General features: G+C 55.2%; 2 protein-coding genes and 1 long non-coding RNA gene across 11 annotated transcripts in view, besides 11 other annotated features; 1 reads left to right on the top strand and 2 right to left on the bottom strand.

The window, feature by feature from the left end:
* Positions 306-945: an enhancer, noted in NCBI's record as "H3K4me1 hESC enhancer chr16:57790901-57791540 (GRCh37/hg19 assembly coordinates)". NCBI's record gives its function as "activates a minimal SCP1, AML or CMV promoter by ChIP-STARR-seq in naive H9 embryonic stem cells {active_cell/tissue: H9 hESC(naive)}" and the evidence as "EXISTENCE:reporter gene assay evidence [ECO:0000049][PMID:30033119]".
* Positions 423-717: an enhancer, noted in NCBI's record as "tiled region #7405; K562 Activating DNase unmatched - State 25:Art, and HepG2 Activating DNase unmatched - State 12:CtcfO". NCBI's record gives its function as "activates a minimal TATA promoter and a strong SV40 promoter by Sharpr-MPRA in K562 cells, with weaker activity in HepG2 cells {active_cell/tissue: K562 | HepG2}" and the evidence as "EXISTENCE:reporter gene assay evidence [ECO:0000049][PMID:27701403]".
* Positions 475-624: a silencer, noted in NCBI's record as "silent region_7537". NCBI's record gives its function as "represses an Ori minimal core promoter by ATAC-STARR-seq in GM12878 lymphoblastoid cells {active_cell/tissue: GM12878}" and the evidence as "EXISTENCE:reporter gene assay evidence [ECO:0000049][PMID:35858748]".
* Positions 690-22164, bottom strand: KATNB1 (katanin regulatory subunit B1). Its single transcript, NM_005886.3, has 20 exons — positions 22079-22164; positions 20651-20956; positions 16117-16247; positions 13423-13540; positions 7007-7107; positions 6632-6673; positions 6210-6293; positions 5879-5994; positions 5333-5404; positions 5006-5156; positions 4667-4857; positions 4415-4545; positions 3939-3989; positions 2937-3004; positions 2696-2815; positions 2440-2589; positions 2017-2093; positions 1868-1942; positions 1462-1578; positions 690-1120 (listed from the first exon to the last, which is right to left on the bottom strand). Exons 2-20 carry the CDS (start codon positions 20688-20690, stop codon positions 988-990), a joined length of 1968 nt encoding a protein of 655 aa, NP_005877.2. The 5' UTR covers positions 20691-20956; positions 22079-22164; the 3' UTR covers positions 690-987.
* Positions 13745-14245: an enhancer, noted in NCBI's record as "H3K4me1 hESC enhancer chr16:57777601-57778101 (GRCh37/hg19 assembly coordinates)". NCBI's record gives its function as "activates a minimal SCP1, AML or CMV promoter by ChIP-STARR-seq in primed H9 embryonic stem cells {active_cell/tissue: H9 hESC(primed)}" and the evidence as "EXISTENCE:reporter gene assay evidence [ECO:0000049][PMID:30033119]".
* Positions 20969-21038: an enhancer, noted in NCBI's record as "active region_10912". NCBI's record gives its function as "activates an Ori minimal core promoter by ATAC-STARR-seq in GM12878 lymphoblastoid cells {active_cell/tissue: GM12878}" and the evidence as "EXISTENCE:reporter gene assay evidence [ECO:0000049][PMID:35858748]".
* LOC107984852 (uncharacterized) lies at positions 21290-24105 on the top strand. The gene is made up of 2 exons (XR_001752221.3): positions 21290-21498; positions 22327-24105. It is a non-coding gene; the product is annotated as an uncharacterized LOC107984852 (long non-coding RNA).
* Positions 21857-22096: a silencer, noted in NCBI's record as "silent region_7536". NCBI's record gives its function as "represses an Ori minimal core promoter by ATAC-STARR-seq in GM12878 lymphoblastoid cells {active_cell/tissue: GM12878}" and the evidence as "EXISTENCE:reporter gene assay evidence [ECO:0000049][PMID:35858748]".
* Positions 22323-22617: an enhancer, noted in NCBI's record as "tiled region #7942; HepG2 Activating DNase unmatched - State 1:Tss, and K562 Activating DNase unmatched - State 1:Tss". NCBI's record gives its function as "activates a minimal TATA promoter and a strong SV40 promoter by Sharpr-MPRA in HepG2 and K562 cells {active_cell/tissue: HepG2 | K562}" and the evidence as "EXISTENCE:reporter gene assay evidence [ECO:0000049][PMID:27701403]".
* Positions 22323-22706: a biological region, named in NCBI's record as "Sharpr-MPRA regulatory region 7942".
* Positions 22407-22576: an enhancer, noted in NCBI's record as "active region_10911". NCBI's record gives its function as "activates an Ori minimal core promoter by ATAC-STARR-seq in GM12878 lymphoblastoid cells {active_cell/tissue: GM12878}" and the evidence as "EXISTENCE:reporter gene assay evidence [ECO:0000049][PMID:35858748]".
* Positions 22597-22706: an enhancer, noted in NCBI's record as "active region_10910". NCBI's record gives its function as "activates an Ori minimal core promoter by ATAC-STARR-seq in GM12878 lymphoblastoid cells {active_cell/tissue: GM12878}" and the evidence as "EXISTENCE:reporter gene assay evidence [ECO:0000049][PMID:35858748]".
* Positions 23336-24313: an enhancer, noted in NCBI's record as "H3K27ac-H3K4me1 hESC enhancer chr16:57767533-57768510 (GRCh37/hg19 assembly coordinates)". NCBI's record gives its function as "activates a minimal SCP1, AML or CMV promoter by ChIP-STARR-seq in naive H9 embryonic stem cells {active_cell/tissue: H9 hESC(naive)}" and the evidence as "EXISTENCE:reporter gene assay evidence [ECO:0000049][PMID:30033119]".
* DRC7 (dynein regulatory complex subunit 7) overlaps positions 26129-27449 on the bottom strand; it is a 37000-nt gene continuing 35679 nt past the window's right edge. For all 9 annotated transcript variants that reach the window (XM_047434768.1, XM_047434770.1, XM_047434771.1 and 6 more), the window contains 2 exons: positions 26864-27003; positions 26129-26769 (listed from right to left, as the gene is read on the bottom strand). In XM_047434768.1, the coding sequence (XP_047290724.1) occupies positions 26676-26769; positions 26864-27003 (234 nt within the window). In that variant the 3' untranslated portion in view covers positions 26129-26675. The remainder of the gene's footprint in view (positions 26770-26863; positions 27004-27449) is intronic.

Raw genomic sequence — 27449 nt, 5'->3', positions numbered from 1 at the left:
TACTGATGGGAAGGAAACTAAGGCTGGAGAGAGCTTCAAAGGCTATCAAAGCCTTGCCCAAACCATGCTGGGCTTCCAGGTTACTGCTGGGCACCACCCACTGCCCACTCTTTGCCCTGGCCTTTTCCCTCTTCAGTGAACTGGCCAGAGGTCCACGCCACCTTCCTCCAGTGCCGAGGACCCTGACCACCCCGGGGCGGGGCTGTACCTGGTCCCTGCCTTGGGAGCAGGAGGGGGCCCACCTGTCGCAGTGCCCACGGAGCAGGGAGCCCTTTCCCGCCAGCCAGTGCTGGGGACTCCAGCAGGGAGTGACAGCTGATCGGAGCCCTGCTCAGAGGAAGGGGCAGGTGCCCTTCTAGTCCTGCCCCTGGAGGCATCCTGGGGGTGTCCATAAGACAGCTTGAGTGTAGCTGAGGTGGGGAGGAACGGGCTGGTGGGGGCCACCCCTAACCTCAACACCCAGTGGTGGAAGGGTGGTTGCCGCCTCCCCTTCCTTCCCAGTCTGCACTGGCTGAACTGGTGCTGTCCCAGAGGCCTGATTCTCTGCTGCCCCCTGCTGGCCACATGGCCCAGAGCCCCACCCCCGGGCTTGGAGGGGGTGTGGCCTCATCTCAAACCATGGGGCAGGCACTCCTGGGCCCGGGGAGCCCTGTGGCCAGCAGAAAACATTCCCCACAAGGAAACCTGGGAATAGTTACAAATTTAATAAAATTTGCCTTATAAATTACAGCAGCAGCCCCAGGGCTCAGTTCGCTGCCCCAAGAAGCAACAGTTGGGCAAAGCTGGGCAGCTATTGCTGGAGAGAGTTGTCTCAAGAGTTCAGGGCTGTAGAGGTGGCCAGGGACCAGCATCACCTCCTCCAGGACGGCCACAGGACAGCAGCAGGGGCCAGGCAGAGGCTCATGGGCCAGTGGGTGCACAAGGAACAGGAGTGGGGGCTGAGGCCAGGCCCTGTGGGCTGCCGAGCGCCCCTGCCCACTGCTTTCCTCAGTCCAGACTGGCCATGAGCAGGTGCAGCTCGCGGAAGGTACTGCCATGGCGGCCGCTCAGGCCTGACTTGCTCTTGACCAGGCCGCTGATGCTCTTAAGCTGCTTGTAGCAGAGCCGGCACTTATGCAGCCTGTAGAGAGGGCAGTGCCTGAGGGGCTAGCTGGCACCACCACCACCCACACCCAACCCCAGGGCCTTTGCTGTCCTAACTGCTCCAGCCCTTCCTCCCAAGGGAAGGCGGAGGCCCAGAGGGGAACCACCCAGGCCCTGCCAGGGATTGTGGGCACAGCCAGGCCATGGAGGAACCCAGCTCTGGCTAAGCCCACCCACACCCTGAGCCATGGCCCCAGACCAACGCCTCCTCTGTACTCTGTCCCAGCAGGACTGTCAGTAAGAGGGGCCCAGGCCTCCAGGCCTTTGTCCCCTCACCTGTTGTGGCACCCCTGCCCCCAACACATGCGCTGCCCTCACCTCTCCTCCCTGCTGATATCCACACCCACAGAGGGTGGGGCCGCCAGCATGTCTGTGATGAGGGGCAGAAACCGCTGCAGGATCAGCTTCAGGGAGGTGCAGCCCGTCTGGACGTAGCTTTAGGGGGAGATGGATGAAGTCACAGATGGACCAAGGGCCACAGACAGAAAGAGAAACAGCAAGGAACAAAGGAGGAGAGGGGCAGAAACAGACACAGACACACCCACACATACACCCACACACGCCTGTTTCCACTCCCACCTCCGGACTGTTGAGGGGCAGCAATGCTTCACAGCCAGCTCACAGGAACACCCAGGCTCTTGGGGGTCCTTCCCATGGTTCTGGAGGAGGCTTCTTACCTCTCCCCTCCCCCTGCTTCAGGCAGGCATGGCTTCCCCACACGCACCTCTCATACTTGCTCTGCAGAAGCTTCTCAATCTGTGGCAGGACGGTGGTGCACAGGTCCAGCTTCCACAGGGAGCTAGGAGAGGCCAGGACATGCTGCCATCAGCCCAGCCCTGCCCCTCCGCCCACTCCCCCTCTGCAGCCACTTACGCTTTCTGGTTGACGATGTTCAGGAGGTCCACCACCACCGACAGGTCGTTGATGGCCACAGCGGAGTCCACCGACGTCTGTGCAAACAGAGCACCGTCAGGGGTGGGGCAGTGGGGGACAGTGTGGCCCTGTGAGGGTGAGGGTGGGGGTACGAACGTGAATGTGGGTGTGCTGATGGGGCTGTGGGTATTCAGCACTGCACCTAACGCAATGAGTGTAAGGCCAGGCATGTAAACAGATGCTCACTAAACGGCAGTCTGTGATGATGATGATGATGGCGGAAACAGATGGTGTGACGTCAGGGATGGCCTATCCCACACTGTCCCCCATGGGTGGCCTCTTCTTGTTCTGCCCCAAGCCCGGGCAGGCAGGTGGCAGGGGCAGGGGGGCGAGATGAGGCCCTGTGCAAGGGTGGGCACTTGCCTTGATGTCGCCCATGGTCCACACAGCCCGCACAGTGTCCAGGTTCTTGTGGCGGCTGGTGAGCACCACACACATGGTGTCGTGGCCTTTGCGGATCTGTGACATGGCATCCTCGTCCACCAGCTCGGCCTGCTGGGGGATCTTCACGGCCTGCGTGGGATGGACACCCAGATGCTGGCATGGGAGGAGCCAGCAGCAAAGCTCTGCCCTCCACCCACAGACCTCCACCCATGCCTCGAGCTGGGCTCCTACTCACGGGCAGGAAGTCGGAGGCCTTCAGCCCGATGGGCTCGTTCCGGGTGGCAGGGATGATGGCAGGCTCAGCCTTGGGTGCAGGTGTGGAAGCAACCACTGGGGGCCGGGGCAGGACCTCCAGCTGAAAGTGTGAAACTCAGCGGTTGCCGGCCTGGGGCCTCCCTCTCTGCCTCCCGAGGCACCCCCAACCCTGGGTCAGGACCTTCTCTAGGCCCCACACCATGCTCCCTCCATGGACATACATTTGGCACCGGGAACTGCACATCCATGGCAGGGCTGGGCTTTGCTGCCTCCTTTGCTGTGGCTGCGTCTGGAGGCAAAAGGAAAAGATGACTGGGTCCGGCCAGAAGGGCCTGGCAAGAAGGGCAGGGCTCAGGGCGGGACTCTGGGCAGCATCTGCAATGGGGGGATGGAGCAGGAGCATGGGGGAGGCTGCAGGCCAGTGGCGTGGGGGTTCCAGAGGACCTGGGGCAGGCCTGGACCTGCCTCCTCCCTCTCCCCCAACTCAACCTTAGGTCTGCCTGTGGGTGGGACCCAGGGGGCTCTAGGATGTGGCCATCCTGTCCCTTCACTGGCATGTATGTGGAGGGGGCTGGGATGACTGGCAAGATGGAAGTGGAGGCTCCTAGGAAAGCCAGGACTGACGGCAAGGACGGTCCCTGAGGGGAGGGCAGGGGTACTCTACAGGACAGGTGGCCCCATGCCTGCCCGTTCTCCAACCACAGTGCAGATCATTTTTCTCCCTTCTTAATCCAAACCCCCAGCTGAGGCCTTGTGGGCCTGACCTCTTGCTGGGACTCGCCCCAGCTCACCTCCTCTCAGCTCCCTTCCTGCCAGAAGCACTTCTCTCTCTCTCTTCTCACTGGCCCCCAGGCCTTGACAGGCATTGGGCCTCCTGAGAGCCTCCCGATCATCCCGTCTACAGCAGACCCCATCTAAGGTGGGCCCCCAGTGACTCCTCTCCATCCTCCACAGCCCGAGTGCCCCTGGCAGGCCCCCCAGTGTGGTGGTGTCCATGTTTGTCCCCCACACACCAGGGCACAGGCTCCTACGGGGGCACTATCGGTCTTGCAGGGACCTGGCACATAACAGGCAGAGGGCAGAGACCCAGCGGGAGAGGGTGTGGGTCGTGTCCTGAGAGGGGAGGGTCCTGGGAAGGGGCTTGTTGGGAGGGTTCACAGGAAGAGAAGATGAGGGACGGGGGGGCATCAGAGACCTTGGGAAACCAGGCTCACCCAACTCACCGTCCTCTGGGGGTGCAGGGAAGGGCTCACTTCTCCGGGGTGGCGTCCGACCTGCAGAGGAAAGAGGCCCCTGGCTGTGAGCGCTCCTGGCCAGGCCACCTGGGACCCAGGGCCCTGTCCAGAGTGCGGGGGACGGAGGGTAGCTCCCAGGCATGCGGCTGCAGACTGTGGACCCTGCTCCTGGTCCCAGGAACCCTCAGTCCTGCCCCTCCCAGCCCACTTGTCCCTGGCAGGGCAGGGACTGGGACACTGAGCAGCTGCTGGGCCGCTGCTGGGGAGTGCCCAGGCCCCCCTCTCAGTTCCATCAGAGCACAGCCTGGCAAGGCCCAGGGAACGTGAGGACAGGATACGGAGCCCAGGTGTGGGTTAGGAGGAAGTTAAAGGGATGCGGAGCCACAGCAGGCTACCCTGGAAGGACCCCCAGCCTCCCTTTCACCGATGGGGACGCTGGGCTGGGGGCGGGAGCCCGGCCTCACTGATGCTGTTCTTGGGCTGGAAGATCTCGTTGTAGTCCTCGGCGTTCTGGATCTCCGCGCGGGACTCGCGCTCGTCCCGGTCATCCTCGCTGCTGGGGCTGCGGCGCTCGCTCTCTGAGTTCTGCTTCACCCTGGGAGCGTGAGGCCAAGCCCAACGGAAGCAGGTGCCCTGTGAGGCCCAGGGCTGGAACTCCGAGGCTTCCCCTGTGACAGTCCCTCTCCTGGGCCCCCGAAGGCCCCCCAGGCCCTCACCTCTGAGGCTTGCTGCAGGTTGTGCTGGGCCGCTCATAGATGCGCCGGAGGGGGGCGCTGGGGTTGGGCAGTGGCTGTGCCAGGGGCCGGTGGTCCTGCACAGGGTCCCGGGCCACCGTGCCAGTCCTGGTGACACGCGTCAGATCCACCACGTAGGAGGAGACGTTGCTCTGGGAGAAGGCCACACCTATCTGCAGAAAGCGGAGAGGTGGGGCTGGGACTGCAAGCCGAGGGGGCAAAATCCCAGCCCCAGTGTGGGGGTAGGAGGAGGGGCCTGGGCTGGAGGGAGGCGGGTGGCCCTGTGGGAGTGGGGGGCGGTGGGTGCCATGGCTCTCTCACCAACTGGTCATTGCAGATGGCCAGGTCGGCCACCTTGCCCCAGTTGACGAGGACCACATCAAAGCACCGCTCAGGTTCCCAGCCGTAGACACGCAGTGAGTCCTGGCAGCCGCTGTACAGGCAGCAGCCGTCTGGGTTGAAGAGGACGCTCCTGGGCCAGGCGAGAGATGGCCGTGGGTCCTGTGGCACCCAGCCTGGTCCCCACCCCGAGGAATCCAGAGGGCCCAGGGCAGGGAGGGCGCAGCAGCGGAGATGGGAAAGGCCCACCCACAGCCACGCCCCACTGCCGGGAGGAGCGCTGGGCCGCCCACCCCACAGCCTGCGTACCTGACGGGCCCAGGCTCCCCTTCGATGCAGCTCACCACCTGGAACTTCTCCAGGTCCCAGAAGCGGATTGTCCTGCAAAGGCAGCCAAGCTGTGCTGCGAAGCCTATCCCTCATCCTGGCCTCCACATGTCCCTGGGAAGCCAGCTTTTCTCTAGAAACCTCTCCCCCAGGGCAGGGCCACCAGGAGCAACATCTGGGGCAGAGCTGGCCCTGACTTTGCAAGGGGGAGGCTCGGCCCGATGGCCCTGGCCCCAGGGTTGGCCCCAACAGCCACGAGCCTCCCTGCCCTATGGGGTCCCACTAGATGCCTTGGGTCCCAACCTGCCCATGAAGCCACAGACCTGGGACACTGGGGCCAGGGAACCAGAGCCAGGGGAGATGGACCAGGGTCCAGTCCTGGCTCGGCTGAAATCCAATTCAGTCCACACAGGATCATCAGACGTATGACACCCCAGACAGCGACAGACCGGCAGTAGAGACACGCACAGAGGACAAGGCGGTGAAGGACAGCAGTCACAAGCAACTCGCCTCGCTCCTCCTCCTCACCTGTCAGAGCTGCCGGAGGCCAGGAGGTACTCGTTGGGGTGAAACTCGACCACGTTGACAGGCCCCGTGTGACCAGGGAACTCAGACATCATCTTGCCGGCAGTGAGATCCCAGAGCTGGAGGCAGGGCAGGGAGGAGGTCAGGGTGACCAGGCATCTTGGCTGCCCACCCTCCCTCTAATCCAGGCCAAGCTCTTTATCCACAAGCTACCTTCCACTCGGGATAGGCTTGGGACATGTGAGCCCGATCAGGAGGGAGGTGAGGACTCAGCCTGCTGTGATCAGCAGACCCCAGCCCCCAGCCCCTGGGCCCAGGTCAGGCCGGGAGCTACCTTCACGGTGTGGTCATCTGCGGCCGACGCCAACCACTTCCCATCGGGGCTGAACCGGAGACACCGCACGGCCTGGCTGTGCCCCTGAGGGAGGACACGGCATGAGCTCACCCTGGGATCCTGGGCCCAACAGACCTCTCCCTGCCTCCTCACTCCTATGGGACCCCTTCCATCTAACAACACTGGTTACCCGCCTGGTTCTGCTTGGAGCAGTTTGATGAACGTGGCTCTAGGGGATTCATGCAGAGCCAGGGGATCCAGGTGGGCCGCCCATGGCGCTCCTGCTCAGCTCCAGGTCTATGTTTTATGTTATCACCCATGTGGGACAGCCGTCCCCTCCACCCCCTGCTGGGGTCTGGGCACCACACCACACTCAATGCCCGCAAGGTGCTCATGGAGTCACCGACAGAGCGCATCCTTACCCTGTATCGGAAGACACAGCCTTTCCTCCTGATGTCCCAGAGCTGTGGGGGAGAGAGAAGCAGAGGGGCAGAGTCAGGAGAGGTCAGAGCCACGACTGGAGGAAGGTGTGCAGTCGTGAGCAGACGGTGGGGCCCAGCCTTCTCTAGGTCGTTACTCCCCACGGAGACAAGGACAGAAACTGCTCACTAAAGCTGGCATTCTGAGCAGAAGCATCTGGCAGATAGATGCCTGCCACCCGCTTTCCCTAGGATGGTGTGGATGTGGCTGCAGAAAGGGAAGAGGTCCCCTCAGCAGGCATCCAGCACTGAGGGCCGGGCCGGGCTGGTCCTGCCACAGGCCCAGCAGGAGACACGGGGCACGGACCGGCCTCTCACCTTGATGTTTGTGTCCTGGGAACCAGAGGCTACAAACTCGCCGTACGGGTGGAAATCCAGGCTGCAGATGTTGGCTTTGTGTCCCATGAGTGTGCGAAGAACTAACAAGAAGGAAAGCAGAGACAGTGGCTAAGAGGCAAATGAGAAGGCTGGCAGAGGAAGGGCTGCTGTGGGCATTTGTGTGTGCGCTTTTGGATTAGCTGCACAGAAAAATAGAACAATAACACACATTTTTAAAACAGTAGGAAACAATCAAGGGTCCCACCACCCTAACAACGAATTTTCTTTTCTTCCTTTTTTTTGAAAAGGAGTCTTGCTCTGTCGCCCAGGCTGGAATGCAATGGCGTGATCTCGGCTCACTGCAACCTCTGCCTCCCGGGTTCAAGCAATTCTCCTGCCTCAGCCTCCCAGGTAGCTGGGATTACAAGCATGTGCCACCACACCCGGCTAATTTTTTTATATTTTTGGTAGAGATAGGTTTTCACCACGTTGGCTGGGCTGGCCTCCTGACCTCAAGTGATCCACCCGCCTTGGCCTCCCAAAGCGCTGGTATTACAGGTGTGAGCCACTGCGTCCTGCCAACAACTAATTTTCCCACATTTCTCTTGAGAGGTGACAGCCCTATGTTACCTCAAGTCTGCAGAAATTGTACCACACTCTCCCCACAGACTGTGCTCCAGCGGAAGCAGAACCAGGGAACCACCACACTCAGTTCAGGCCCCATGGGTGTGGAGCTTATGGTTTGCAGGGCACTGAACCCCACCCAAGACAGTGCAAGGAGAGAGACAGACCAGGAGAGGTTCAAGCTGGGAGAGAAGCTGCTTGGTTGGAAAGAGAAATCCAGGAAGGCTTTATGGAGGAGGTGGTATTTGAGTAGATGTCAGTGGGTGGAGGATGAGGGATGCTGTTAGGTAGATGGAGGTGATGGGCAAAGGCCCTAAGAAGGGCAAGTGGAGGGCATGGCTGGGGTGGCCCTGGTGCACACACCAGTCTTCTTGGGTGACCTCTGTCCAAGGGATCTTGAGGGTGGCTGTGAGGACACACTGAGGAGCAGTGAGAACTGAGAGGACACAGGGAGGACACGCGAGGACCAAAGAACTCCTGGGGTGGGGCCTGATCGCCTCCCACTGCCCTAGGAACCACATCTCCTATCCTTTCCTTGAAGGTTTTGCAGGCATCTCCATGGCCAGGAGCGGCCCAGCCTGGAGGCAAACCTTGTGTGTTTCAGGGTGTCCTCCAGTACCACTCAGATTTGTCTCATGTTTCCTGCTTTTGGAAAGATTCATAATTCACTATCTGAATGAAACTGACCATCCCAAGTGCCAGGGTCAGGAAATGTGGGAGTCCAGCCATTCTTAGTTTTGAGCCAAGGTGCAATAGGTCACCTTGTGAGGTAGTGAGCTCTCTGTCAGAGGAGGTATTCAAGATTCCATATATAACACTTTACTGCAGAGTCAAGATCCAAGCACTGGGTGAATTAAATGAACTCTACTGTATGATCTTCTCTACCCCCAAAGTCAGGATGTGGGCTCTGGCATCAGACAATACTGGGATCAGCCTTGGCTCCGCTCCTCACTGGTGGTGTGACCCTGGCCAATCACTTACTGTCTTTGGGCCTCATGTTGGGTCACAGAATGGAGTAAACATACATAAAGTGCTTAGCACGGGCTCTGCACATGGTAAGTGCTCAATAAATGCCAGTCTTAATTAGTCCCATTCACATTTCTTCCTGCACAAGGCCTGCCTTCTGCTCTTGGCTGTCCCGCAAGCTGGGCCTTCTCTCCTCCTCCCCAGGCCTCAGTGCCCCTCTGCAGCTGGCCCTGTCTGGCGCTGGAGCTGGGTCTGGATACTTTCACATCCCTCTGGAGTCTGTCGAATGCATATCCAATTCACCTGCACCAGAATCTCTGCAGCTGTCACTCCTTGCTCCGTGTAGCTATCAGGTGCTGCTGGGGGCTGGGCATTGCCTCCTGGCCAAGGAGGCCACGCTGGCTCTTGCTCCAGTCCACACCCGCTCCCAGCCCACTCAGCTTGGATCCCACAGCAAGGCTTCCAAAATCCTGCCCTGCCCAGAGAGGATGTGGCGGAGTCCCACCCTGTGTGGGCTGGCTGCATGAAGCACCGGCCGCCCTCCTGTGAGATCCCGTGGGATCCCCTGCGCTGAGCTACCCTTGCCCTCTGGCTGCGCTGTGGAAAGCAGGCAGGACCACATTCTTCCGGCTTGACTCCTGCCCTTGCTCTTCTGTCCCACGAAGGCCTCTGATGCCTACATTCAATCATGGGATCTAGGAACTGCAGAGTGGAGGGGCTTCCGGGGTCTGTCTGCCCCACACAGGAACCCCCAACGCCTCCCAGCTGAGCACCTCCTCAGCCTACATCTGAACCCTCCAGTGATGGGTGGCCTTTCAAGGCAACCGATATGAGGCAGCTCTCTCTCTCTCCTTTTTTTTTTTTTTTTTAAAAAAATAGAGATGGGGTCTCCTTTTGTTGCCCAGGTTAGTCTTAAACTCATGGCCTCAAGTGATCTTCCTGCCTTGGCCTCCCAAAGTGCTGAGATTACAGGTGTGAGCCACCATGCCCGCAGAGCAGCTCTCTTTGGAACCTTTCCACACCTGGGGCCTCAATTTGCCTGTCTGTCACTGTCACCTGCACTCTGGCGAGGGGGTGTGGAGGGGGGCCGGAGGTCTTAGCTCTACCTGCTGTGCTGATGGCAAGTTTCTCTTCCATCCAATGGCAGAACAGACAACACTGGGATGGGAGTCCTGACACCGGGATTCAAGTCCCAGGCTCTGCTACCTGCAGCTACTGGGGTTTTCCTAAGCTCGGTGCTCTCCCTGGGCCTCTGTTTGCCCATCTGTCAACCTGGCTGTCCATCGGAATCACCTGGAAGCTTATTAAAATCCAGATCCTGGGCCCACCCCAGTACTGAATCGGGTTCTCTGAGGATGGAGTCTGGGCCGTGAGTTCGTAATGAGTTCCTTGTGGAGCAGCCAGCCCTGGCCGTCCAGGGCCCAGGAATCCAGCAATCTTCAGTTTTCATTTCTCAGCCACCTCAAGGAATTCCTCACATTTCCCCTGTGAGCAAAACAATTGTGGATGAGAAAGCCTGGACAGGGGGCACGGCGCCCTCGGCTTCTCCCTTCTGTCTCTTGTTCTTCGGTGAATACTGAATGGCTGGTGCCCACGCGCTGGGATTCAGGTCCAGGGAGCTGCCCACCTTCTGCCTGAGCCTTCCCATCTTCTCCATGAGAGCCCAGCCATCCTGGACTCACTCCTCCCTGGCCCGCTTGAGTTCAGCGACACCAAGCACAGCATGCCCTGGTGTGGCCAGGCAGTGCGATCACGTGCCGAGACGCAAAGCCTGCAGTCCTGTTTGTTATCAAAGAGGTCCTGGGGCTCTTTTGTTCTTAAACTGACCATCACTGAGTAGGCAAGCATCACTGAAGAGGCTGCGTGCATCTTTATTGAGTACCACCTACACAGAGAGCCCACTGTTCCTGAGCAAAGGGAACCTTGCCACTGTGCATGTGTGGCTCATGGCTGCTGCCCTGCCGCCAACATAGAGCATGAACCAAGGAGAGGCCCAGAAGAATCTTGAAGTCTCAGCCAGGCCAGAGGGGCTCTCTTCTGGAAAAAGCAGCCTCGGCAAAATCCACGTTGCTGCTTCCTCTCCAGGGCTTCAGGTAGGTGGCCTCCTGCCTGGCACGCGGGATGATCCAACAAGGGCTATCAAAAAGCATCAGGCAGGCCAGGCATGGTGGCTTATTCCTGTAATCCCAGCACTTTGGGAGGCTGAAGTGGGCGGATCACCTGAGGTCAGGAGTTCAAGACCAGCCTGGCCAACATGGAGAAACCCCGTCTCTACTAAAAATACAAAAATTAGCGGGACATGGTGGTCCGTGCCTGTAGTCTCAGCTACTCAGGAGGCTGAGGCAGGAGAATCGCTTAAACCTGGGAGACAGAGGTTGCAGTGAGCTGAGATTACACCACTGCACTCCAGCCTGGGTGACAGAGTGACACTGTCTCAAAAAAAGAAAAGAAAAGAAAAGCATCAGGCAAACGGGTCTTATTTGGACCTCACAGTGCTGGCCTGCATGGTGTTCTAAAACAAATGTTGAATGAGCTGTCAACATTTTTAAATGGGTGGATTCCACATGAATTTCCAGATTTCCAGCCTCTCTTGAAAAATCCGTAGAGCTGGCACCACCTGCTAAGGCACCAAGGCACATGAATTTCCAGATTTCCAGCCTCTCTTGAAAAATCCGTAGAGCTGGCACCACCTGCTAAGGCACCAAGGCACATGAATTTCCAGATTTCCAGCCTCTCTTGAAAAATCCGTAGAGCTGGCACCACCTGCTAAGGCACCGAGGCACAGCACAGGAGCAGTGGGCGAGACTCTCCGCTCAGCCCAGAACTGAGGGCATGAGTTTCCAGACCACAACCGCATGAAACCAGTGACGACCTAGCACAGGGTGGAAGCAGACCCACCCCAAGGCTCACCACACCAGAACACTGGGACAAAGACCCTAAAAGCCTGCAGAGACAGAGAGAGAGAGGAAAGAAAAGAGAGAGAGAGAGGAAGGAAGAGACAGAACATGGAATGAAGCCAGTCCCCTGTGAAGGATCTGGGATCAGAACAACACCGGCCCCTCCCAATAGCAACCTAGAACCTAAAAGGCAGAAAAGCTGCACCTTCCAAATTCTGAGGGCGATATTTTATTGCCAACATAGAACTCTATACTCAAACTCATAAAACAAACACAAAAGCAAATGATGGGGGTAGCAGAAAGTCATTTTCAGCCATGGAAGTTCTCCAAAACTATGCCTTCCCAGCACATTTTCTCAGAAAGCTACAAAAGAATGTGCTCCATCAAAAAGAGGGAGAAAACCAAGAAAGGTTGCGGCGTGGGACCAGGAACAACAGATGGAGAGAATTCCCCAGAGAAGAGACACAGAGGCCCAGGATGACAGCTGGGCTGCAGGTCACTAGGACCAGAGGAGAGGCTCTGAGAAAAGGCGCCTGGATTATGGGATGGGTTTCAAAGAAACAGGAGGAGCTTTACTCTTCTGGCAGAGAATTTGGGGATGAATGAGTAATATGGACATAGAAAACACACAGATTAAAAAAAAAAAGGAACTATTATTAACTCCAGGGAAACCAAGTTATTAAAAAGAAATAGTCAGTGGTAAATGACACTTATGCGTCCTTACATTATAAACACCACCTATTGAAATGGTGCTACTGGGAGGGTGGGAGGAGAAACACGAGCCATGGGGCTGGGAGTGGTGCCATGAGAGAGCTAAATTCTCATCCTTTACAGTAGGAAGAGAATAACTAATGTGTTAACTTTTTTTTTTTTTTTTGAGATGGAGTTTCGCTCTTGTTGCCCAGGCTATAGTGCAATGGTGCGATCTTGGCTCACCACAACCCCCACCTCCCGGGTTCAGGTGATTCTCCTGCCTCAGCCTCCCAAGTAGCTGGGATTACAGACATGTGCCACCACACCCGGCTAATTTTGTATTTTTAGTAGAGATGGGGTTTCTCCACGTTGGTCAGGCTGGTCTCGAACTCCCAACCTCAGGATGGGGTTTCTCCACGTTGGTCAGGCTGGTCTCGAACTCCCAACCTCAGGTGATCCGCCTGCCTTGGCCTCCCAAAGTGCTGGGATTATAGGCGTGAGCCACTGCGCCTGGCCACGGTGTTTTTTAAATAAGAAAAGAAAGAAACTGTGGTATGACCATGTGGTCTAGAAAGGTGGAGGCGATCAGCAAAGCACAGACGAAAGCACAGAAAGTTTAGGCTCATGGAGAATGGGAAGGAGTGGGGCAGAAGTTTCCTCTTTCCATTGAAATTAATTGTAGAAATACTGGTATTTGAGGTTTTAAATTTTAGGCTATGTACAACTTCTATACAGATGAAAACTAAATTAAAACAGAGCACAAGGAAACAGATCTGGCCATTCCAGGCTGCCTCTAATGGCACCAGGGAGCCAAGGCAGAGTGGGGACCACCTGGAGTCAGGGTACAAGCTCCCCGGTTCTTCATGGCTGTCCCACGCAGCCACCTCACTCATTCATGTGACCTGCAGGGCCCCTGGCGGCATGTGACATCCCTCTAGGTTCTAAACACACACACACACACACACACACACGTGCCCGCAGACACACACATCCAAACACACATACATCCAAACACACACACACACACACCCGCACATCCCCCCACCCACACGAGGCAGCAGTGCATGTCAATGCCAGGCTAATGGGGGTGGAGTGGGTGCCACACTGCCGGGTTAGTGCTCCAGGAGCAAAGCAGCCAACGTAGTCCAGGCAGGCTTCCTGGAGGAAGCAGTACAACTGCAGAGCCTGAAGACTAAGGCAGGTGTGCGTGCACAGGAGGCAAGCTCGGAGGCCTACTTTTGGCAGCTTCCAGGTCCCAGACACGGATGGAGCCCGACTGAGAGCCGGCCACGATGAGCTCCTCGGGGGTGTTGAGGCGGACGCTCTCCACTGGGGATGTGTGGCCCGTCAGGCTCTGTGGAGAGAGAGCAGCAGCTTCCGTGCACTGCTGGACAGACCCCTGCAGTTGCGCCCTGAATTCCAAGTCCCCCGGAAAGGCTTCAGCAAGAAATGGCTAAGGCAGGAGGGGGAGCCCCATGGGGGCCACAGCCTAGCCCTCCTGCAGGCCCTTTCTGAGCACCTACTCCTCTCGGCCTCAGCTCCCAGGGCTAAGAGTGGCCAAACCCCAATCATCCCCCCACCACCTCCCTCTTCCCTGCTGTGCTTCTGACATGGGCGTCACCTGCAGAAATGGCCCTGGGCCCCTTGGAGGGGAGCGACTGGACAAGATAAAGGGATGCTGTCCCTTCAGCCCTAAGTTAAGCAACCCTGCCCCCGCTCTGTTCCCATCTTCACTCTGCCCCAGGCAAGCCCCTCAGCGAGGTAAGCCACAGCGGAACCAAGGCCTGCCTAGTCCTGGGCACACATCTCGCCCCTCTAGAACCCCTGGCTCTCCCTGACTGCCCATCCCCGTGGAAAGGAGAGGGCTGTGGCGGTTGGAGGAGGGTGGAAGACTTTTCACTGTGGATCCTCTATCTTTTGGATGTTGAACAGAATAAGTGTATCCCATACTCAAAAATAAAAATAAATCCAAGTGGACGGCCTGCAGGGGGACAGCGTGCACAGAAACCCCAAGGGGAGAGAGACCCCGGCAGGCTGGAGGCACTGCGAGGCCTGGGAGGCTGGTGTGTGTGAGCCAGGGCAGGGGCCCGGGGTGAGGCCGGCTGGGGCCTGACAGCTGCACCTGGCGTTCTAAAACAAGCCTGCAGGCCAGGCCCCAGACGGTTGGCCCCGTTTCTCTGGGGGTCGTGGCATGTCCTATTTTTGGTCAGTCATTGGTGATGCTTTTTCAACTTGTGTATGCTACTACTTTGGCATTTCATGGGGGTAGAAAACACATTTGAATCCTAGAAACAAAGTAAAACAAAACAATTCAATTCATCATTACTGACCCCTGGCACCCTTGCTGAGGCTGGGGTGGATCTCAGTTCTCCCCCTGGATCTCAGAAAAACACTGAGGTGATTAAGTTTCTACTAAGAAATTCATCCTTTGCCATATTCTTTTTCTTTTTCTTTTGAGATGGAATCTTGCTCTATCACCCAGCCTGGAGTGCAGTGGCACCATCTCGGCTTACTGCAACCTCCGTCTCCCAGGTTCAAGCGATTCTCCTGCCTCAGCCTCCTGAGTAGCTGGGACTACAGGTGCCTGCCACCACGCCCGGCTAATTTTTGTGTTTTTAGTAGAGACAGGATTTCACCATGTTGGCCAGGGCGGTCTCAAACTCCTGACTTCAGGTGATCCACCCGCCTCAGCTTCCCAAAGTGCTGGGATTACAGGCGTGAGCCACTGTGCCCGGCCTATTCCTCTTCATCTTTATTTCACCAAGAGTCACAACAATGATACTCCCTGGTTGGCAAGGGATGGGGGTTGGGGCAGGGAGGAAAGGGCAGGTTCCGATGCTGCTGGTGAGAATGTAAAATGATTTCTGGGGGGCAATTTGGCAATCTGTTTTGAAAGCTTTAACAAAAGCACACACCCTTGGATTGAATGCAGTGATCACGGATCTGCTCAAGGATCTAGGTGGCTGAGGATGTTCACCACAGGGTGCTTTAGCAGAGCCAAAAAAAGCCGGAAACAACCTCTCTGCTGATAACAGGGTGTGGCTAAGCTAATTACGGCTCATCCCTACAATGGAACACCATTAAGCCATTCAAAATTATGTTGTAAAAGAATACTTGTTGACACAGGCAAATCCTTACAACATTGTTATTTTTAAAAACCAGGCTGCACAAGAGTGGCAGTGTATTTTTATTTATGTGTGTGTGCTTGTATGAGTATTTGTGTGTATACATGTGTACATGCATGTACAAGTGTGCACTTACGTGCATGTACACGTATATGTATCTGTCTCAGCATCTAGAAGGACTCACACCAAAACACCAACTGTGGTGGCCTTTGGATAACGGAACTATATGTAGTTAATTTTGTGTTTTCTCCTTTATGCACTCCTATTTGGAAAACAGTTTCCAGCATTGAACATATAGCTGCATAAATAGTGGGGAGATGCTATTTAAGAACTAGCTCCCTAACCAGCTCCAGCCAGGTCCCCTCAAATCCTCATTGGGGAATGAAGGCTGGGAATGAATTAAAATAAACGCCCACATGTTGCTGCCAGGCAGGCAGATGGGCAGGTGGGAGGGGAGGGGTACAAGTCTTTTGGCTCAACCACAGGCCCAGGGCTTATTTTAATCTTCTCACGCAGCCTGCCTGGAGTTCTTAATAGTACCACAGGCAGGTGACTCCCTCGCTCCTGAGGGCTGGCCACTGTCCCAGCCATGCTGGGCTGTCCTGGGCCTCACTGAGCAGACAGCTGGGGGAAGCACTGATGGTGTCCCCACCACGCCCCCTCCACCCCTGAGCTGGGCCCCAGCGGATAGGGGGCCCTGGGCTCAAGAGAGTCTGAGAAGCTGCTCACTCTTCAGCCTCCAACCCCTGTCCCCGTCCCCTCCCCAGGCCCTTGTCCTGACCCCCCGCCAGCTGTCGGGGCTCACCATGATGCAGTTGGGCTTGTTGATGGACCACAGGTTGACGCGGCAGTCATCCCCGCCTGTAGCCAGCAGCCGCCCGGAGGCTTTGCCCAGCACCAGTGAGGACACGTTGCTGGCATGCGCGACGATCTCTTCTACACAGGGAAGGAGAGGGAGAGGCCATCAGGGCGGCCCGATGGGGCCTTGTGAAGGAGGGGTGACCCTGCTCGGCTACCCGCTTTGGAACCTGAAGCCCAGTGGAAGGATCTGCCTCCTTCAGCTCCCCCTTTGGTGTCCACCATGAGCTGCAGGACCAGCAGACAGGGCAGGGCATGGGCCTGAGACGGAAATCACTGTTTCTCAACTTTCATCATGCCTGTCTTTCCTACCTTTAGACTTCACGATTTTCTTCCTGTTTCTGCATATCACCTGGTAATATTGACTAGTTATACGCAATTTTTAAAATTGACTTGCTATTTTTATTAGCTTGGGCTTAAGCAATGTCCATGAAATTACAAGTTTGATATACTCATGATACTCTTTCTATGATACAAAAAGAAAAACAATTATTGAAATAAAAAAAATTGACCCATGCACTGCCTACACACCTCTCAGCTGCTGCTTGTGTGTACATACAAACCCTGCTTTGGAGAACACACTTTAAGAACAACCGAAGTCACCTCTAGACAAGCTGCCCCCAGGTAAGCCTGCACAGGGCTTCGGCTCAGATTCACAATCACGGATCAGGTTCTGGTCTGAGGTCTGTGATCTGCTATTGCGTGGCCTTGGCTACTAGGTCACTTGTCCTCTGAGGGCCTGGCTCCTCGTCTGGAAAGTGGGGATGCCCGTGGTGTCTGCTCACACCTGATGCTGAGGACTCCCTCAGAGCGCGCCTACGTGCTGCTTAGTAGCAGGCGAGGGCTCCGTGACATTGGGCAGGCTCGGGGCTAGTCACCATGAGAGAGTGGGCATGGGGGCCTGGGCGGGCACCAGAGGGTGGGCTTCATGAGGAGGGGGCAGGAGGCAACAGACTGAGCAGCTGGGGTGGGGGTGAGGGCTGACCACACAGAGGAGGAGCCTGTGCAGACAGCCCAAGGCCCTGGCCTGGTCCGTGGAGATGGCAGACAGGAGCCTCGGAGGACTCCGCAGGGAGCAAAGCACAGGCAGGGAACCAAGAGGCGGCCCGGGCCTCAGAACCCATCCCTGCATGAGCTCCTCCTGGAAAGAAGGGAGAAAAAAGACAGTTCTCCCCACACAGGCCAGGGGAAAACCCCAAGGTGCTGACGCCCCGAGGCACCCGGAAGGCCAGCGTGGGTGACGCCAAGGAAAAGGGTGTTGGAGCCACGGCGCTCCACAGAGGCCCCTCCTGCACCCCAGCTCCGACTCCACCCTGCCTGGGTGTCTCTGCTGCGGGCTTCAGACCACAAGGAGGTTGGGAAACTGGGCCCAGGGAAGCTGCTTGCCAGAAACCTGGGCTCCAAGGGGCCACCAGGAATACCCAGGGGACAAGTCGCAGGCTGAATCTCACTGATGACACCCTGCCTCCTGGGCCGGTCGGGGCAGAGCCAGCACAGGCAGCAGCGCCAGCAAGGGCGAGGGTTCCCTGTGGGCCCAAACCTGGGCCAGGGCGCTGGGAGTTCGCCATGGGGATCCCAGGGAGCTGGGCCCCACTTTAGTCCCGTCTCGATGAGAGCCTTCTGTCCTCTGGACACTGTCGGGACAGAAACCTGAGGAATTCCAGCCACAGACGTGTCTGTTCAAGGTTTCCACCTGACCCAGAAAGAGGGCAAAGCACCTTCTCCCTGGCATTCCGTGCCCGAGCCTGGTGTCCTCTCCGTGGAGGCACTGCTCGCTCCCCCTGGCCTACCTGGAGGGCTCTGTCTGTCCCCTGGCCCTCACTCCTCCCAGGGAAAGTGTCTGGCTGGGCCCCACCTCACTGGGCCTCAGGACTGCTGCCCCTGGAGTCAGGGGCATTCATTCATAATATCAGTATTTCCTGGGTGCCTGTTCTAGGCCTTGCACGAAATATGCCCCAGTATAATCAGATGGTGGTGGGGGCGGGACACTGAGCTGGCAAAACCGCAGACTTTGGAGTGAGAAAGATTTAGAAGTTGGGCCCTTCTGGAGGAGCCCACATCACTCCCCTCTAAGCAGCCTGACCAGGGACTGACTGGAGCCCACAGAGGGAGGGCAGAGGGGCAGGGACACAGCACAGGCACCTGCAAAGGAGGCACGGGGCACCACCCCAAGAGCTCCTCCTTCATCCTGGCTTGTTGGACAGCAACCAACAGCCCAGGCCGAATACTTGATTTTCATACCAAAAATAAAAAATAAAAATCCTCAGTGTCTACTGGCAGGCCAAGCTCTGGGAGTACAACCTGGGCCCCACATCCAGCCAAAGCTGGGGAACATGGTGCGGCGTGGCCAGAGGGGCTGAGGATCAGCATCCCAAATGCAAGATACAAAGTACTAGGTTTCAACGACCTCATGTGGGCCACGCACCTCTGATCCTCACCAGACCCTGGAGCCACAAGGAGCCAGAGGTCACGTGGCCCTGGGCTCTTCAGAGTTGATTCCCACGGACACCACCGTGCACATGAAATCAGCAGCAGCAGCAGATGCCCAATACGCCTGATCTCATTACCTCCTGCTCGCACACACTGATGGCTTGGCCTTGCCTTTATGATAAAGCACGGCAGCCTCAGGAGGGCTGGGGTCCTGAGAACTCAGTAGGTCCGTGCGGCCCCACATTCCTCCTGCTGCTGTGCCACTGCCCATGGCCTCCCTTGAGTCCTTCCAATACACTGAGCCTCCTGCCTCAGGGCCTTTGCACTTGCTGTTCATGCAGCCTGCAGCATTCCCACCCCACCCCTACCCCTACCCCCCAGCTAACTGATTCAAAGCACAGGCACCAGCTTGCAACTAGAGGAGACACAGAGGGATACGGTTATCCAGTTCCTGCCTGTTGCTCTCCCCAGGCTCTGAGCTCCCGCTGTACAGAGACCTTGACTACTTTGTCCCCCAGTGGCTCCCCAGTGCCTAGCTCTGGGGAAAGGCCAGCTGTCGAAGGGATGAATACGTAATCCCAATAATTACAAAGCCACTCTGACCAAAGTGTGCCTTCCTTGGGGAACCATAACAGGGTTCTCCCAGAGCCCTAGAGTTTTGGGGAACAACATGAAAATGGCCCAAACCTCTCACTTTACAAACAAGGAAACAGAGGCCCTGCAAAGAGCTTTGCCCAGAGTCTTATGGTTAAATTCATGGTTAAAAAGTGTGGAGTCTTGGCCAGGCATGGTGGCTCATGCCTGTCATCCCAGCACTTTGGGAGGCTGAGGCACGTGGATCACCTGAGGTCAGGGGTTCGAGACGAGTCTGGCCAACATGGTGAAACCCCGTCTCTACTAAAAATACAAAAATTAGCCGGGTGTGGTGGCGGGTGCCTGTGATCCCAGCTACTCGGGAGGCTGAGGCACGAGAATCGCATGAACCCGGGAAGCAGAGGTTGCAGTGAGCTGAGATTGCACCACTGTACTCCAGCCTGGGTGACAGTGAGACTCTGTCTCAAAAAAAAAAAAAAGTGTGGAGTCTTGTCCCAGCTCCTGAAAACCAGCCCAGGGACAGCTGGCAGCAGACAGTGACCAGGTGGAGCACACAAAAGCTATGCCAACCAGTTACAATAGGTGGGGCAGGGCCCACCAAGGTGCCAATGTGTAGGGGAATTCTCAAAATATGATCTGGGGATGCTTGGGATCCTCAAGATCCTTTCGGGGGGTCTGAGAAGACAAAAGGATTTTCACAATAACACTAAGATGGCATCTGCCTTTTGCACTCTCATTTGCTCTCAAGCATATGGTGGAGTTTCCCAGAACATCACTAGAGGCCTATTTGATTATATACTCTTGTTTGAAAATGTCTCAGTATTAACTTCTAACGTGGTAAATACTGACAGATATATAACTCCAACAAACAAAAGCACTCTGGGGTCCTCAATAATTCTTAAAGTATGAAGTCTTCAGATGAAAGAGTCCAGATCCACTTGTATAGGGCAATGGTGGGAGTGGACAGTGCCCATCAGTTACAATCCGAGCCCTGTCTGCATCCCTCTGCCCGCCCCTCCTCGCTCCCACTCCTTCCCCCATCCCAGGCCCAAGATGCTTTTATCTGACTGGGGAAGTTTGACTTGTGAGATGTCTGAGAATGCTGTGAACATCTTTCAGGATTTCTCACCCCACTGTCAGCCTAACTGGAAATGCTGTGCTAAGTGCTTTAGGATGGGTTCATCCTGTCACTTGAATTTCACAGCAACCATAGAATGCAGGCGTCATCTCATTGTACATATAAGAAAACTGAGCCTCAGAGAGGTTAAGTCACCTGCCCAGTGTCACCCAGCTAAGAAGTGCCACAGTCATGATTTACATAATGGTCTATCTTACTCCCAAGTCTAGGAGTCTCCTCCTGTGCCAAGAACAGGAAACAAAGCTGTGGGTTCAGGCCTCCCAGCAACAAGCCGCTAACAGAATAAATGGGGTGATAAAGAAAAATGAAAACCACTCACGCAACTTCCAGGCTGTCTTGGTGACCACAGGGGTGGCCATCCTTCAGCTGGCTGGCACCTGAAGCCCCACCCACAAAATAAACTGTGCTTTCCTCGTGGGGTGGGGGTGGATCCCCCCCCAGATCCACCAATCAAGTTGGCAGAGAGTTCCCACACATCCAGGCAGACAGAATGCCTCGTCTTCTGGCCCTGGGGTGCCTCGTGGTTCCAAATTACCCACAGCAGCAACAGCAGCAGCCTGTGCACATCTGTCACGATCCTGGATCATGGAATGTTAGGCTCGAGCCATCTCAGCTCAATACAGGGCTGCAATACAAACAAGAGGTGACGTCATGTTAGAAAATGCTTGGTAAGAGCTGTTGCTCCCTGGATCACCAAGACCACTTGATAAAGACTGACACCCACCAAAGCCACCAGAGTCAGAAGCTGCACTGCAAATTAGGTTTGGGAATCTGCAGAGGGGGCACCTCAGGTAGGGTGATTTGGAACGTAAGGAAAAAGAAACTCCTCCCAGAGGCCAGGATAATGAGCTGCAGCTCTGTTCCGGGATGCTGGCTGCCTAAAGTGCAGCAGCCGCAGTGGGGCGGAGAAGACCACGTGTCTGCAATTCACATAGATTTCCTGCGAGTCGTTGTTTTTGTCTGACGTGTGGGATGTGGGAGAGCGGAGTCAGAAGCTAAGCTTAGGGGCCTAGGAAAGGCATCCCAGAGACGGCCACTGAAGTCCTCCTTGGAAAGAATCTCGAAGACGACCCTGATGGTCCAATTCCCCAGCTCCTGGCAAGGGAACCGCTCCTGCTCCCTGCGATTCCCAAGGACAGAGCTAGGAACTAGGCCTCCAGTCTGGGCGTAAGTGGCTATGACTCTTCAACTCTAAAAGGCCTCCTCATGGAGCCTCCCACCTCCTTCCCACAGCCACTTCACCTCTTTCCCATGAGCCCGCTCCCCTCCGTCCCCTTTCTCCTGGGTCCCCGGGTCTGCCTCTCTAGTCCTCCGTTCACACCCCCTTTTCTCCCTGCCCCCTGAGTCTCCCACTTATGCACATCCTGTCTCCCGATATCCCTCACGTGGCCCCTGCCTCGCCAGACTCCCGTTACTGCCCTTTCCCATATGCTCGCGGGGTCTCCCATTCATTCATTCTCCTACTTCTCTTCTCCCTATTCATTACCTGTCCTTCTGCAGACCCCCAGCTCTGCTTCCGGCCTCCCTGGTTTTGCCCCCTCCGGCCTCCACCCCGACCCCTCTCGTCCGGGGGCGGGGGCAGGTCCCTCGGCCACGGCTGATCCTCCCAACCCTCTGCTTGCGGAGTACGGGCTCTAGCCTCCCCACGCTCAGAGCTCTCTGCCCGCAAGCCCAGCCAGCCCCGCCTGGCTCGGCCCAGCCCAGGGCCCACCGTCCCCTCGCCACCTCGTCCCCTTGCCCACTCCACCTGCAGCTGCGGCTCCGGAGGCCGAGGCTCCGCTCCAGGCGCGACCCCCACTTGCCTCCATCCCCTGCCTTGATTGGCCGCTGCTTGACAACCGACCCTCACAACAAAACCTCCGGCTCAGAGCCCCGCCCACCTTGCCTCCCGCACCAATCAGCTGCCGCGGGTGCTCCGCCTCCTGCCAGGACTGACCAATGGAAGCAGGCGCTTCTGCCGCTTTTCCTCAGTACCCGCCCTCTTTTCCTAAATAGGACTAATCAAGAGGAAGGAACGTTCAAGAGCCGCCCCTTGGCCTCTAATAAACCAATGCAAGCTGCCGTTTCCTTAGTCCCGCCTCCGTCTCAAGTTTTCCCTTTCCTCTCCGTTTCCTCCCTCGAACCTAATTTGTGTCTGAAAACTTTTGAGAGCCGCCCTCCAATGGCGGCTGCGCCAATGGCTTGAGCAACCGTCCTGGATTGACCAATCAGCGTCCGCATTATTGGAAAACTCAATTCCCAGATAGCCAATGGGAAAGGAACTTCGGGGGCAGTGTGAAGCCTCAGGCCTTCCATCTTGGAGTGGGGCAAAACCTAAGGAGGCCTTAGTCGGCATTTTGCCGAAGCTCCTCATTCTTCACTTTGCCTGCAGATGGTCCCCCGTGGCAGGAGGACTTTGTCCCTGTTCTTTGACCCGGACGCCGGCTTGAATCCCCCATGGGAGGTCTAGAAGGAAACAGCCTGATTCCGGAGCCGAGGCAGGCGCTGAACCCTGTAGCACTGCACACGCAGCCACCGCCTCGACTAATGGATGCGTGGGCAAGGGGCTGCTCCCTGAATGGCTGCAATCAGGGAATCGGAGAAAGGCCAGCTTTATTTGTGACACGTTGGGCGGGGTGGGCTCTGGGAAGCGCCGTAACCCTTCTCGACTCAGGGCCTCTCGCGTGGCCGCTTAGGAGGGACTTGGCCCCGCAGCCGCCTCTCCCTGTTGCCCAGAGGTTGTCCCAGGCACCCAGAGCCCCTCGAACCTTGCCCTTCGGCCTCCAGCCTCTCACCGCAGGTCAGGGCTCCTTGGGCTCACATAACGCCCAGTACAACCATAAGAGGTAGGAATTCCTGTTCCCATTTACAGATGAGGAAACTGAGGCCCGGGTTAAGATGCTTGCAGAAAACCACACGGTCAGAAAGTAATAGCCCCAGAATTCGAACCCTTGTTCTGAAAGCCAAAGCGTGGGGGAGTCCCCACTCTGCCTTCTGCTTCAGCCTTCTGCTTCAGATTCTCCTGCTTCAGCCTCCTGGGTAGCTGGAACCACAGGCGCCCGCCACCACGACGGGCTAAGGCTAGTTTTTATATTTTTAGTAGAGACGGGGTTTCTCCATTTTGGCCAGGCTGGTCTTGAACTCCTGACCTTAGGTGATCCACCCGCCCCAGCCTCCCGAAGTGCTGGGATTACAGGCGTGAGTCACCGCAAGACACCTTTAAAAGATTAGCAGAATAACATCGGATCAAAACTGTCTAGCCTGCAGTTCCCCTTAATTTTGTATTATAAAAAGAAAACTAAACAGAGAAAACTTTAAAAGACAATATAATGATACCACGTAGATTCCAGTACTTGTTAACAGTTTGCCATATTTGCTTCGTCTGTGTGTCTTTTCGGAACCATTTGAAAATTGTAGATATGACATTTCACCCCAACACCAAATACTGAGCATGTATCTCTTAAAAATAAGGCCCTTGGCCAGGCGCGGTGGCTCACGCCTGCAATCCCAGCACTTTGGGAGGCCAAGGCGGGCGGATCACCTGAGGTCAGGAGTCCGAGACCAACCTGGCCAACATGGTGAAACCCCGTCTCTACAAAAAAATACAAAAATTAGCCGGGCGTGGTGGCGCACGTGCCTATAATCCTAGCTACTGGGGAGGCTGAGGCAGGAGAATCACTTGAAACTGGGAAGCAGAGGTTGCGGTGAGCTGGGATGGGGCCACTGTACTCCAGCCTGGGCGACAGAGTGAGATCCATTTCAAAAAATAAAAATAAAGCCCTTATTCTACAATAACCATTGTTATCACCACTGCTAAGAAAATTTAATTCTGTAACAACCAGTCCATATTCGTATGTCCCCAGTCATCCCAAAAACCTTTTAGGACTTTTTTTTTCTAACTAAGAACCAATCAGTATTCACCACACTTGACTCTTAAGTTCTTTCCATTTCTGTCCCCAAACTTTTATTTTTATGACATCGATCTTTTGAAGAGATCAGGCCATTTACCTAGATTGTCCCACGTTAGGAATGTTTCCTTTTAGTATCATTTACCTGAATTTCCTGAAGTTCTTGTTAGATGGACGTTCTTCTTAAATGCATTTCTTCCCTTGAATTTCTTAAGTTAGGGCTAAAGGCTTGATTAGATTCATGACAACAAGCAGTCAAAAACACTCCAGAGGACACATTGTAAGTGCACAAGGTTGATGAATTTTTACAAACCGAACACACCCAGGTCAAAAAGCAGAACGTGACTAGAAACCAGAACCTCCCCTCCCAGGGCTCCATGCTCACATCCATTCACTAACCCTCACACTCCAAGAGTGACGGTTGTCCTGACTTCTAATATCACCAATTAATTTTCCTTATTTTTGTTCTTTCCATAAATGGAATAATAGAGTATGTACTTTTGTGTCTTGAATCTTTTGACATTATACTTAGGCAGTTTGACCATATCATTCCATATAGTTGTGTTGCAGTTCATTCATTTTCATTGCTCTATGATATGGTTTGGCTGTATCCCCACCCAAATCTCATCTTGTGAATTGTAGCTCCCATAATTCCCACATATTGTGGGAGGGACCCAGTGGGAGATAACTGAATCATGGGAGGGGTTTCCCACATACTGTTCTCATGGTAGTGAATTAGTCTCACGAGAGCTGATGATTTTATAAGGGATTTTCCTTTTTGCTTGGTTCTCATTCTTTCTTGTCTGCCACCATGTAAGATGTGCCTTTGGCCTTCTGCCATGATTGTGGGGCCTCCCCAGCCGTGTGGAACTGTGAGTCCATTAAACCTCTTTTTCTTTACAAATTACCCAGTCTTGAGTATGTCTTAATCAGCAGTGTGAAAACAGACTAATATACTCTATAACCTCAACATTATTGGCATTTAGACCTAGATAATTATTTGCTGTGGGGGGCTGTTCTGGGCATTGTAGAATGTTTAGCAGCATCCCTGGCCTGTATGCACTAGATGCCAGTAGCATTCTCCCTAAGCAGTTCTCCCTAAGCAGTTAAAGACAACCCAAAATATCTGAAGACCACAATTTATGTATCCATTCTGCTCTTGATGGGCATTTGGGTAACTTCCAAGTATGGTGCTATTATCAATAATGCTGCTATGAAAGTTCTAGCACATGCCTTTTAGCAGATAACTATCTATCTACATTTCGGTTGAGTTGTTCATCATTCTTACTTGATGAATGATGGATTGGAGTAGAACCTAAGAGTAGAATTGTTGGGCTTTAGTTTAGCTTTAATAGATAATGCCAAGCAGTTTTCCAAAATGGTTGTACTGATTTATACTTTCACTAGGAAGGCTATTTGGGAGTTCCAGTTGTTTCTCATCGTCACCAGTACTTTTTATTTTTTTCATACCGGAGGGTGTTGTGACATTTCATTTGCCAGATGACTCATGAATTTGACAACCATTTCATGTGTTTTTTGGCTATTTTGTAAGCTAACATTTAATGACTGCTTTCTATGTGCCATTCCCAGCCTCCCTGCTTTATAATTTATGTCTTTTTTTTCTTTTTTTTGAGACAGGGTTTTGCTCTGTTGCTTAGGCTGAAGTGCAGTGGTGCAATCATGGCTCACTGCAGCCTTGACTTCCTAGGTGAAAGTGATCCTCCTACCTCAGCCTCCTGAGTAGCTGGGACTACAGGCTCATGCCACCATGCCTGGCTCTTTGTTTTTTTTTTTTTTTAGAGATGGGGTCTTATTATGTTGCCCAGGCTGGTCTCAAACTCCTGGGATCAAGTGATCCTCCTGCCTCAGCCTCCCTAAATGTTGGGATTACAGGTGTGAGCCACCACACCTGGCCATAAGTCTTATTTAATGCAACAATGCTACCCCATTCCACAGATGGGTAAGTGGTATCTGGTAAGAGGAGGAGCTGGGATTCAGTCCTCAAATTCTGGGGCATGCATCTTAGCCTTCCCCATCCCACTTGGTGAGGTGGGCCACCCTAGTCACATTGAGATATAACCAGTTGTTTGCAGATGGCTGTGGGACCATCTGCAGAGGTGCTGTGAAGACCTGACATTCCAACGGAGAGAAGGACAGGAAGCAAACGACAGGCCAAGGGGAGGAAGGGGGTGGTCCCAGGCTATAGATAACAGAAGAAGAGAAAGGCTGCTGCTGGAGCTTGTGAAGCGCAAGGCACAAATGGCAAATTAAGAGTGTGTTTATTTACAGGAAAATCATGAGAAGCAGGAACAAACAGGGCTGTAGGGGAGGTGGGCTGGCAGTGAGGCCAGGTGTCTGTGTAAACAGGCATTGGCTGGATAGAGGGAACACAGGAGCCAGGCTGCGGGAAGAGGTTTCCTTTCTCTGGCAGCTCTGGCTGAGGCCCCAGGAGGGACATCAAGCGAATATTTTCTGGAGCTCCCCCAGGCGTGGGTCCTTGTAGAGCTTTTCCTCCAGAGCCAGGTACTTCAGTGGGGCCAGTTCCTTGTGTCTGAAGTCAGAGAGGCAAGGAAAGAGGGTGAGGGGTTACAAAGCTGGTGGTCCAGCCTCCCAGTGGGTTCTCTCCACCTGCCCTGCCTGCTCACCGATTGAGGCGCTGCTCCAGGATGCGGATGCGGAACATGGCCTGAGAGCAGTAACTCAGGTACAGGTCTTCATCCTCGGGTGTCAGCGTCACCTGGTTCTCCTGGTACCACTGCTGCTTCTTTTGCAGCTCCTGGGTCTCCTGTGGTCATAGGGCAGACAGAGAAGGAGGACTGACAAGGCTGACCTTCACCCAGGCTGCAGGCTGCAATCCCATGGGTCACTAGACAGCACCATGACGGTTGGCCCCAGTGTCCCCACTCACACAAGCCACCTATCCATACCTGCCACAGAGGCAGGGGCCACAAAATATCTTGGGTGGGAGCCAGTGGGGTCATGTTTATAGGGATGTCATGTCCATGAGATCAGAACGGGGCAAGACTGAGAGAGCCATGTAGCTCTGGACAAGTTACTGGCATTTTCAGAACCTGCAATTTCTTGTCTACAAAAGGAGGGTCATTGTACTCCCCCCTCCCCTTGTAGAGCTCCTTGTGAAGATTAAGTGACATAATCTTAGTAGTGCACGGGAACTACATGGTGTGTGCCTGACCAACAAAAATGGGTCAAGGACTAGGAGTTGTTACAGTG

Source organism: Homo sapiens, chromosome 16 (assembly GCF_000001405.40).
Source record: "Homo sapiens chromosome 16, GRCh38.p14 Primary Assembly".
Lineage (NCBI taxonomy): Eukaryota > Metazoa > Chordata > Mammalia > Primates > Hominidae > Homo > Homo sapiens.
Note: the sequence above shows the minus strand (reverse complement) of the source record. Positions and strands in the feature narration are given on the sequence as shown.

What these genes read in the sequence shown, in the direction of transcription:
- KATNB1 (NM_005886.3), bottom strand. Translation starts at nt 20,690, where the DNA reads ATGGCCACCCCTGTGGTCACCAAGACAGCCTGGAAGTTGC. An exon ending in ACCTGCAGCAAGCCTCAGAG is followed by an intron (nt 4,546 to 4,666) that starts GTGAGGGCCTGG and finishes TCACGCTCCCAG; the next exon opens with GGTGAAGCAGAACTCAGAGA. An exon ending in GATATCAGCAGGGAGGAGAG is followed by an intron (nt 1,121 to 1,461) that starts GTGAGGGCAGCG and finishes CCCTCTCTACAG; the next exon opens with GCTGCATAAGTGCCGGCTCT.